General features: G+C 42.1%; 1 protein-coding gene across 54 annotated transcripts in view, besides 1 other annotated feature; it reads right to left on the bottom strand.

Moving 5' to 3' along the window:
• The window catches only part of ERC1 (ELKS/RAB6-interacting/CAST family member 1), a 505,975-nt gene that overhangs the window by 50,912 nt on the left and 443,319 nt on the right, over positions 1–11,744 (bottom strand). For 47 of the 54 annotated variants that reach the window (NR_027948.3, NR_027946.3, NR_027949.3 and 44 more), the window contains one exon: positions 272–460. Coding sequence is in view for 44 of the 54 variants with exons in the window: in XM_047428566.1 (XP_047284522.1) it covers positions 272–460 (189 nt within the window). In the remaining 10 variants the exon portion in view is untranslated. Of the gene's footprint in view, positions 1–271; positions 461–11,744 lie in introns of those variants that run through there. The other 7 variants (XM_017019072.2, XM_047428580.1, XM_047428583.1 and 4 more) reach the window with 2 other exon arrangements.
• Positions 2,432–2,931: an enhancer, noted in NCBI's record as "H3K4me1 hESC enhancer chr12:1551257-1551756 (GRCh37/hg19 assembly coordinates)". NCBI's record gives its function as "activates a minimal SCP1, AML or CMV promoter by ChIP-STARR-seq in naive H9 embryonic stem cells {active_cell/tissue: H9 hESC(naive)}" and the evidence as "EXISTENCE:reporter gene assay evidence [ECO:0000049][PMID:30033119]".

Here is an 11,744-nt window from a genome sequence, read left to right as displayed (position 1 = left end):
AAAAAAATAAAACAGTAAAAAATCAATTAAAAATCAGTTTAAAAATTATATCTGGAAACCCCTCCCCACCCCCCAAATCTTGAATCTAAACATGGAATTCCCCAAGGTAGCTCCCACTGCATGAACCTACACAGCAACGGGATTCCCCAAGGTAGCCCCCACTGCATCAACTACACGGCAACTGGATTCCCCAAGGTAGCCCCCACTGCATCAACCTACACAGCAACTGGATTTTCACAGGCTCTTTTCAAAGTTTGAGTGAGAGGCTCACCTGCCCCCGGGTCATCTTCTGCAGCTCATTCTCCCAAGCCGCCTGGTCATCGTCCAAGTTATAGGAAGCTGGTGGAGTGAGTCCACGGAGGATCAGGGGGTCTCGGTCATGGCAGAGGGTTGTCAGGTGTCCAATGTACAACTTTAATTTACTTCTATTTTGGTCAAGTTCTAAGAGGGGCTGGATGATCTAAGGCAAAAAAATAAAATAAAATAAAATAAAATGAGGAAAGTCAAGGTCAGTCTGAAATGAGAGGTTCAAATATTCTTTATGCTTTCCAAGTCAAAGAAAATTGACCAAAGACTAAAGCTCTTCTAATCACTACTGAAATCTTCAGGATTACAGAAACATTTTCACATACTGTCACACATTTACGCTGTCACACGCAGCCGCCCTTCTGGGAGACAGGAAGAGAACGCTGGCTTCATATATTCACACCAGACGGACAGCTCTGTATCGAGGCAGGAATTAAGCACAGGACTAACTTGTTTTTACAGAGATGCTATTCCTGATACAGAAAGACTCCAGTTACCTCACAGTTTCTCTTTTCACTTATTTATGAGTAGATTACAAAAAACTGCTAGTGAAACTGCTCATCTGAAAGCCTGGACTACATATACTCCAAGTGTTCCTCCACCTCCTAGAATGGAAGAAAAATTCTGCCTCTGGAGAAAGTGCATGTTTTTCTTGGCCAAGAGATGTGATGAGGGAACTCATTACGAATTCTGTCTCATCCTGGCTTATGCTCTTCTCATTTATTTCACAGAGGTTATCCGATATTCTTCTGAACCAGTGACTGATAAATCCCTATATAACACCAAACACCTGACTCACAGCCAAGGACTCTGAAATTCTTAGTTGTAACATTGGTTCTGTGTTTTTCTTAAGTAACAGACTTGCTCTACGTTTTTTCTTTTCTCATTCCTTTCCCCTGCTTGAACAGCTACTCCTTTGATTCCTTCTGGAAGCACACTAAATGACTGATGACTCCTGCCCCAGGATTTCATTTGGCAGCTCTCGTGACAATAGTCTGGCCAGGTATTTGGTAGCTGGTCAAAGCCTGGAGTGCTGAGGAAGAGAGTGGGGCCAGACCTCACCATCACAGAACACTGAAGCATTAGAGCAGCCCCTGCTTGACACACAGCAGCTGTGAGCACTGCGAAGCACCGCCAAAACGCTGGCAGATCTCAGTGTGTTCCCAGGGCTCACACAGCAGGTCTGCACCTGTTGCATGTCACCGGCCTGGCAATTTTCATGAACAGGACACCTCTGGCCTAACTAATGAATTGGGAGCTCAATAATCTTCAAGTCAACAGAAGCAAGGCCTGGTATTACTTTCCACAGTAACACTGATTCCTCCTTGGACCCCCTCAGAGGACTGCTCCTGCCACGTTCCTTTATTTCTTTTTCAACAAGAGTTTTTTTAAGAAATAAAGTTTTATGTTTTTATTATGAAAACAATATATATTTTACTCCAAAAAATTGGGGGAAAAAAGAAAAATATAAAGGAAATAAGACTTTTGCATACACTTCCATCAAGAAGTAATTATTTGGCCGGGTGTGGTGGCTCACGCCTGTAATACCAGCACTTTGGGAGGCTGAGGAGGGCAGATCATGAGATCAGGAGATCGAGACCATCCTGGCTAACATGGTGAAACCCCGTTTCCACTAAAAATACAAAAAATTAACTGGGCGGGTGCCTGTAGTCCCAGCTACTCGGGAGGCAGAGGCAGGAGAATGGTGTGAACCCGGGAGGTGGAGCTTGCAGTGAGCCGAGATCACACCACTGCACTCCAGCCTGAGCGATAGAGCGAGACTGTCTCAAAAAAATAAAAAAAAATAAAAAAGAAGTAATCATTTGTAACATTTTGGAAATTTTCCTGCCAAGTCTTTTAATAAATTTATATAAATCAGCTTCTAACAGTATCACACCTCACATTTTGCTTGATACATTATCTATTTAACATTATATTGTCAGTACTGTTCACTACATTATATATGACCGAAACTATGTTTTTCATGGCTGCATAATACATATAGCACATTTCCTTTGTTTCTAATACTATTTCCAGGAAATAATTAAAAGAGAATAAAGAGCAAGGGCTTAGTGGCTAAAACAATCTTCAGCTTGCTAAAAAGATCAGAGTTCAGTTTAGGCCTATACAGTATATTACACAGAAGCTGGAGCCTGGCTAGACAAACCAGAGAAAATTAATCAATTTAGCATTACTTTTGTTTTTAAAATTCTCTCTCTCTCTCTAAGGATAAACGATAAACACCAAAGTTCTGCTGTGGAAGGCTGCTGGGCTCTGTAAGAGACTCCTAATCAGCAGGTTTACGGTACCAGTTCTGGGCTGGAATTTCCTACCTATGACAGGCATGTCAACACAGCCAGTCACAGAAGGAAGACAGTGTTTCAATCAAGTAGAGAATTTAGAGTGGGGGAGCTGGATAGTTTTTTGCAAACAATACCAACTTTTCAAAAATATTGTATTTTATTTCTGGGCATACATGTATACTTGTGGTCGGGCATGGTGGATCATGCCTGTAAACTCAGCACTTTGGGAGGCCAAGGTGGGCAGATGACGTGAGGTCAGGATTTTGAGAGCAGCCTGGCCAACATGGTGAAACCCTGTCTCTACTAAAAATACAAAAATTAGTCGGGCATGGTGGCGTGCGCCTGTAATCCCAGCTATGTGGGAGGCTGAGGCCGGAGAATCGCTTGAACCCGGGAAGCGGAGGCTGCAGTGAGCAGAGATCACACCACTGCACTCCAGCCAGGGCGACAGAGTGAGACTCTGTCTCAAAACAACAACAACAACAAAAAGTATACTCATTGTGGAAAATTTACAAAGGATTCCAGGTGCAGTCTTCAAAGGTAAAATTACTTTAAATGCAAGCACACTCTGTGCGCCAATGACGAAACCGTCTCATCACGGTTCTGTTACTACACCCCCATGATGCCAAGTAACATATCCCTATTTCATTCCTCATTTTTTAAAAGCTTGGTTTTCTCTATCTTCTTTCATGAATACATTGATTTAAAAAAATCACCTTTGGGATTTTCACTGGATTTGTGCAATTTATTCCCATTCTTTTGGTGCACACGCGCATGTTTGTGGGTATAGAGCTGCCATCACAAATGCCACATCTGGGCTGCAAAGGCTGAAAGAGCTGCTTATCTTAGGTAATTACTTTTGACTGACAAAACTGGCAGAAAAAAGTATGACCACGAAGAAAGGGGGCAATGTGATAAATGGTCATATTGAGAAGGTCAAATTCCTTATAGTAAAACAGAATTTAAAAAGATATTATTAGCTCACTCCTACAACCACTATGACTGCGGATGCTGACTTTTTAGATCCTTATTCTTAATAAACAATCAATTTCAGCCGGGCACGGTGGCTCATGCCTGTAATCCCAGCACTTTGGGAGGCTGAGGCGGGTAGATCACTTAAGGTCAGGAGTTCGAGACCAGCCTGGCCAATACGGTGAAACCCCATCTCTACTAAAAAAATACAAAAATCAGCCAGGCATGGTGGCGCATGCCTGTAATCCCAGCTACTTGGGAGGCTGGGGCAGGAGAATTGCTTGAACCTGAAAAGGGGAGGTTGCAGTGAGCCGAGATCGCACCATTGCACTCCAGGCTGGGCATTGCAGCAAGATCTGTCTCAAAAAAAAAAAAAATTTTCAAACAGATTTAAATGCATTTTATGCTGATGGCTAATTGATTAAATAAACATGATGGCATCTGGTATTCTGAAAAATTTCAGAGTCCAATCGAAAACTTAAAAAATAAGGCTGAGGTCAGGTGTGGTGGCTCATGCCTGTAATTCCAGCACTTTGGGAGGGCAAGGTGGGTGGATCACTTGGGGACAGGAGTTCGAGAGCAGTCTGGCCAACACAGTGAAACCTTGTCTCTACTAAAAATATGAAAAGTAGCTGGGTGTGGTGCGCACCTGTAGTCTCAGCTACTCAGTAGGCTGAGGCATTAAGAATTGCTTGAACCTGGGAGGTGGAGGTTGCAGTGAGCTGAGATCACACCACTGCACTCCAGCCTGGGCGACAGAGTGAGACTCCATCACACACACACACACACACACACACACACACACACACACACACACACACACACACACACACACACACAAAAGGCTGAGGCAGGGGGATTGCTTAAGGCCAGGAGTTTGAGACCAGCCTGAGCAACATAGCAAGACTCTGTCTCTATTAAAAAAAAAAAAAAAAGGCCGGGCGCGGTGGCTCACACCTGTAATCGCAGCACTTTGGGAGGCCAAGGAGGGCAGATCACGAGGTCAGGAGATCGAGACCATCCTGGCTAACACGGTGAAACCCCGTCTCTACTAAAAATACAAAAAAAATTAGCCGGGCGTGGTGGCGGGCGTCTGTAGTCCCAGCTACTCGGGAGGCTGAGGCAGGAGAATGGCGTGAACCCAGGAGGCGGAGCTTGCAGTGAGCCGAGATGGCACCACTGCACTCCAGCCTGGGCGACAGAGCAAGACTCTGTCTCAAGGAAAAAAAAAAAAAAAAAAAGAGAAAGAAAGAAAACTTAAAAAAGAATGAAATTCTAAATTGTTTATCCGGGATAAAAACTCATTTTACAAAGAAAAGATAAATGTTTGAAGTGATGGATTACTCTGATTTGATCATTTACATTGTATAGAGGTATCAAAATACCACAAATACTCCCAAAATATGTATCATTGTGAAAGCATATGAAACTGCCCAACTAGTATAGTCCCCAAATCTATCTGTAAAAAAACTACTTAAGCCTCTCGGAACACATGAACCATGTCAATCATGTGGGAAATGCCCTTATCTCTTCCCTTTTCTCCCTATCTAATTTGAGCAGTCCACTTAGAAAAGAAACTGTGTTTCCCACAAGGTAGAACTGCCACTGCCTAATCTCAAGAGGGAAGAGGGACATTTGCCAAGTAGAAAGAGAATGCCTTACAGGACCCGTAAGTTATAACTTTTTTCCACATGCGACCTCAATACATTGGCAAGGGGTCCTACTAAAAATCATCAGATATGTGGTCAGGCCAAATTGGTTGTACAGCTATAATGAACTGTACTTAAATATACTTTTCTGCACTAGGAAAAAAGAAGTTAAAAAATGAACTCGTCATGATATTTGCTTGTACCAAATATGATGCCAAAACGTCATTATGGCCCCAATGCTACATTTACAAAATTGTTGAGGAAATTTAAATTATAAAAAGGGATGAGACATTTTTGGTTAAGTACTAAGAGCTTTGTTTCTTCTTGTAAGAATTTATTTGTTTATGTATTAGATTCTCAAACAGGCTTCAGAGGCCAGCATTTCATGGCATAGTGACAAGACCAGTAATCTTCCAAAGGTGTTTGTTTTAACCTAGTTTCCACTTCAGTGAGGTTGGATAACTGATGGTCTTTAGGAAGACAGGTAAGTTGTTCCTGTATCATTCAATACAAATAGTAACAGAAGATTCTACAGCATTCCACTTCTGCAACTCACTCATCTATGAGATCCAAACACACTTTCTTGGGCCATGTGACTTCAATACCTGGAAGAAATGTGCAGAGTGAAGCGTCTGTCCAGTAGGCTCTTCTCTTCCCACTCTACTGCCTCTGTGCCAGATAGTTACTCTAAGAACCATTCCGAGAGGCATAACACAGCCTCCTCATAAAGCCTAGATGAACAGGTACTGAATATTATTTGGGGCTTAAGGTATTTTCTCATGGGGTACTAATCTTTTGTCCGTTGAAAGATGTCATTTTTTATATATATATATATATTTTTTTTTAAATTGAGACAAGGTCTCGCTTTGTCACCCAGACTGGAGTGCAGTGATGCAATCACAGCTCACTGAAGCCTCAGCCACCTGGGCTCAGCGATTCTCCTACCTTAGCCCCCAAAGTAGCTGGGACTATAGGCATGCACCACCATACCCGGCTAATTTTTTAAATTTATTGTAGAGAAAGGGTCTCACAATATTGCCTAGGCTGGTCTTTAACTCCTGGGCTCATGTGATCCTCCTGTCTCAGCTTCCCAAAGTGCTAGGATAACAGGCCTGAGCCACTGCACCCAGCCCGAAAGATGCCATTTTTTTAAAGCTAACATTTATTGATGACTTATTGTCTTCCTGGCAAATTATTTTTATATCTACTACGATTCTTCTGTGGCTAGCTCAGAGCCCTGAAGTGGCTACAAAATCTTTTTGTTCTTTTTACCTGCTGAAGTCTTCAGAGGCAGGTTCAACTGTCCATATATTAACTGCATAAATGTTAGTGGTAGTTTTGATTTCTTATTGGACTGTCATTGTACTGCTGTCTCTCAACATAGACTACATTAAGAAAATCCCAGAATAACAGATTAACTTTCCATAAATATTATCATCTTAGAATGGCATTCTTATCCAGAGGCCCCAGCGGAGAGCTAAACTCTGAAAAGTAAAAGATGCGAGAAAATAAAATTCATTAATTCTGCCTCAAAGTCTTTACCCTCAATAACTAAGATATCTTCTTAGTCAATAATGTACTTCAGGGTCAGGAAAATGAAGGATAGTGTGTCAAGCCTTGTCACAAAGGTTTGGAGCAATGTGTTATGTTCTTATTTAAACACAGCTATTTTGTGAAAGAATGGAGTTCACAAAATCATATAATTCAGTTACCACTAGGAGTTCAGGTCCAGGGACCACTAGTCACTGAGATGAATAAACGTTAATCAGAAATCTCACTACTAATAGAAATATCTGGTTCTAAAAGTAGAAACTCTCTCCAAAGGTTTCAGATTGAAAGGGTTTTATGGTCTGTCAAAGTGTAAATGTGCCTATGAAAACCACAAAAGACTATAGGTTTTGAAATGCAAAGAAACATGAGAATCATTTTTGAAAATAACAAATGATCATTTCTTCTTAGTTTTACAGCTCACAAATCTGTTGCCAATTTTTCTTTAAGGATGCATTACCACTCTAGCAAACAAAACAAAACAAAACATCCTTTATTTCTGGATTCAGGTATGAAGAGAAAACATTATGTCCTCAAAGCTGTAAGGAGATATGGAACAGCGTTCAGAATAAAATAAATCTTGAAATCTCAACTACAGAGCTGCTAACTGCATTCTGCCTATTCAATCTTCATTCAGTTAACATCTCTTTTACCTTATGCATTATAAAAAATGCTACTCAAACGAAATCTAAGGGAGTGCATAGGGAACAGACTGTTAGGGGCTTGCCTACTAGTAAGGGAAGGACATCTCTGGCTGAGCATATCTATGTGTCTCTCCATGTGCTACAAAAGGATGTCAAGACTGTAGGCATCTCTATACTTGCTTTAGTACTCGGAAATTTGTAAGATACATTAAAACCAGGTCATTCACCACCAGGTGGGTGAACATGTATATACAGATGAGGACAGCACATAGAAATGGGGTGAAAAGTGAAGAGAATGCTACTAGGAGGCACAGAAGCTATTATTACAGGCCAGCCAATCAAGGGTACATACAGTATGCGCCCTGAAAGGATGGCTGCTGAAAGTCGATGAGATAACCAGAATCAAGAAGTCAAGAAAGCCACTCAGAAAGCCACTTACTGCTGCACTCAGAAATTCCAGGAGCAGAAATGTGTTCCAAAATTCTTTCTTGCTGTTAAGAGTTAACAAAGACGAGAAAACACTTTGAATTCAGTTCTTGGCTTGAGGCTTGGCTCCCCACACAAATCACTCATTGTGTTTTAGTGAAAAATGGAAGAGTTAAGTATAAGTACATATATATATATATATCTGAATGGCTTCCCTACTGTACAGTACAGTTCCAGGGCTACAGATTTATGAATGAGACATTAGGGGCAAAAATCTAGGCATGTGGAAGAAACATGAGGCAAAAGAGGGAGAAGAGACAGTCATACTTTTTGAGCAGGCCAGCCCTACAAGGACTGACGCTGGATTTCAAAGGAAAAGCTAGGCGGGCAGTTGGTCACAGGGAAAAATGGTGGCTTTTAACTCCCTGCATGCCCGTGTGAACACATAAACATTGAAATTGATAACTCACACTCTCTTCTGACCCTCTGAGGCCTGGTGCCTCACGTGCTGTAACTGCTGCAGTCAAGCACGACACCACCTTTTGGCATTATCACATGTCTGCTAGACGGATGGATCTGAAAAACAACAATACGCTTGTTGCCTAGGGGGCAAAAGAGTATAATAACCTCATAATCACATTTTATCTTCTCCTTTCTCACCTATGGCATTGGGAGTGGAGGGGAAAGGCAAGCGGAGTTACCCAGGGTCAACAAAAGGGACCTCCTGACCTTGATAGCATCTCAACAAACAAGGAACAACATAATAAAGATGTGAACATGTCAAAGATGTGACCTGAACTGAAGAGGAACACATTTACCGGCTCCTTCTCAGTCCATAGGACTACAAAAAAGAGCCAAGTATGACTGTCTAGTCACTATGAGATTTGATAGTTTATCTGTACAAAGGCTCCCAAAGACAGGCCAGTCTCTGGAGGAGACTCTTCTGTGAGTGGTAGCTATTTCAAGGTCAGGATAAGAGGGCGTGCGTGCACGTGTGTGTGTGTGTGTGTGTGTGTGTCCGTCTGTCTGTACATGGAAGGGCTGGGGGAGCAGGCAGAGGCAGTTTGCAGTTAGTCACCTTATTATTTGAACTCTAGCGTCAAACCAAACACAACAGACTATGCAGATATAAGTCTACTGCTGAGTGCTCACAGCTAGGCTATAGCCACTGAGGGTCTCATCATGTGTCTAGAGCCTGTGGTAGACGTAGCTTCTCATTAGAGTGCTTAATAAGAACATGGCCTGAGAGGGTACAGGTGGCAGGGAAGAAGAGTTAGCTATTACCCGAAATCCAAGAGAAACTATAAATATATCTGTAGCTGTGTGTAAATATCAGAAATGGGCACCTTTCCATTGGAGAAAGGCAAGTCACATACAGAAATCTGATCTTTAATGCTAACATCGGAAACAGCCAGAAAACTGTTTCTCACTTCAGCAGGTGAGAAATGGTTGTGATTTGGTGTTTAAGAATGCACGGGGGCACGAAGTCCAGATGGGAGGAGAGATCTGAGCAAAATGGCCCTCAGCCAATATTTCCAGCTTAGTACAGCTTAGTTTTCTCTGAAAATAGTGGCCCAAGAACTTTGTATCACCAAGAGGATGAGGAAATGTTTCTGTATATCATAAAAGAGCACTTCAAGAATGAAAACAGTACCAGGACAGAAGGCACTAAAAGGGTGCCTCCCTAGCTTCTTCCTCTCAGTACTATAAACTAAAATAAAGCTGGTTTTTCAGGGGGACAGCAGCTAATTCCAGGAAAGCCAGGGGTATATACCTGCCTCCCCGACCCTAGCAGCTTTGGTTTGTTTCTATGTCCTATTATTCTCTTCCTTTCTTCTCCTAACTCCCCTCTCTCCTTCTGACCTGCCCACGGGAAGAATCTTTACTTCCACTCCACACACGCACTAAAAAATCTCATACATCTGAGAAGCTAAGAAGGATCCTGGCTGCTCTGACAGAGTTGTACTTCCTGGATTTATGTTTGCTATAGTCAATCAGGAAATCATATTTAAAAGGCAAATTCTTTCTGAAAATTTTATATACCATGAATAGATCCCATGGATTAACAATTTCCAGACATCAACCCTCTCACCTTGGGAGTAATCCAGACTTTGGGTGGAAAAAAAGATTTGGGAAAAACAAACATGAGGAAGACGGCTTTCTCTACCAACTTCCTTTATTTGAGAATAAAACCTCCCATGCAGTGATTGAATTATTCTCTCTCTCTCGAAACGTTAAGCCGTGTAGCACAACACAAACTCTGACGGTCATCACCACTTCAATATTCATAGTTGTGGACGCTTAAGCAAAGCTTTATTATTTGAAAATATACAATTGACTATGACGAAAGAGGCTCAGCATGGTAAACACCAGAGATACTACAAATGGTGGCTGATGTTTCAAGATTACACAACCTGGACCATGACTAGCCTAAGGATCTCCAGTCAGACGACCCTTTGGGTGTATGTAACACCCATCTCTGGAAGAAGGACCCACGTGCTCTGTTTCCCTCTGCTCCGAACACAGGATCATTAAGCAGGGACTGGAGATCAATTCTGAAGGGTAGTGGCAAAGGGGGGCAGCCCCACTGGGAAGTGGGAAATGGAATGAGCGCAAAGAACAAACCCTAGCATTTGACAGAACGGACTGATACTCATGGGGGAACAGCAGAGCGCCAGCAAGCGGCCACAGAAGGAAGTTCCAAGGGGTACATGGTGTACACATCTAGACTGAAGCACAGGTAACTACACGAGTCAATAAAGAGTAAGTAGGCTCCTAGTTTAGCTGTAAAGTGACTGATAGTAAAAAAGAGAAAGGAAAAAGTTAAGCTTATATAGAATCTTCATATATCTATTTTTTAATCTCCCAGGCTCTCATACCAGTGCCACCTTTTAGTACTCACAAAAAAGCTACTGCACAAAGGAAGCCACGTCCAGTTTTAGTGAGGAAATCCAGAGGATGGAGACCACGTTTTTGATATAATCAGAGAATCTAATATATTACGGGTGTTTAGAAAATAAGAAACAGATTAAAGAGTGAAATGATAAAATCTAACTCTAGAAATCAAGCAAAGAAAAGGGACAAGAGGAAGCAGAACATGCCTTTTCTGCACCATGTTAATCTGCTCTTGTTTGTAGCTGCTTTTCCCTGGTTCTCCTACCAGGGAGTACACCTTTTTTTTTTTTTTTTTTTTTTGAGACAGGGTCTCACTCTGTCGCCTAGGCTGGAGTGCAGTGGTGTGATCACAGCTCACTGCATTGCAGCCTCAGCCTCAGGGAGTATACTTTTGATAGCACAGACACATACTTTAACAGTAGCAATAGCTCTCTTCATGCTTTAACCAGTCTGCCCAAATATACACAACATACAATTTTGAGGAATTCTCCATACTCAGTTGCCTTGTGGGCTTCAGCAACTGTAATCTTCTTGCATGAGATGCTACTGCTGACAGGAAATAGCCTTTGCTGGACCATTCAAAGGGAGTAAAGTCTCCGCCATCTTGTTCGTTTAAGCAATAAGATCTCATGCCATTGGTCAGATACACTTCTAATTAACAAACCAGCCTCCAGCTAGCAAACCATCCACACATCATTTCCCAGATGCAGCATTTCAAGGAATACTGCAAAGCCATTCTAAGGCAGGTGTGTGTGCCTCCGACAACCTGTGAGTTCAGTGCTCTACATTCTATGTATGTGAAGGTTTTCAGCTCCCCGACTTCATTAGCGCATTCTGTCTCAATGATCATATATTTCTGTACACCAGAAGAAAGCATCAGGTTAACACGCTACTTAAAACATACACGTGCATAGAGCTATGAAATGTCTGATTGGCTGGAGCCAGGCTCCTCTGAACTAGGACTCCTACCTCTGCCATCTCTTGGAGCAATTACAACTTAT

This window comes from Homo sapiens, chromosome 12 (genome assembly GCF_000001405.40).
Source record: "Homo sapiens chromosome 12, GRCh38.p14 Primary Assembly".
Lineage (NCBI taxonomy): Eukaryota > Metazoa > Chordata > Mammalia > Primates > Hominidae > Homo > Homo sapiens.
This window is presented reverse-complemented; position numbering and strand designations above follow the sequence as displayed.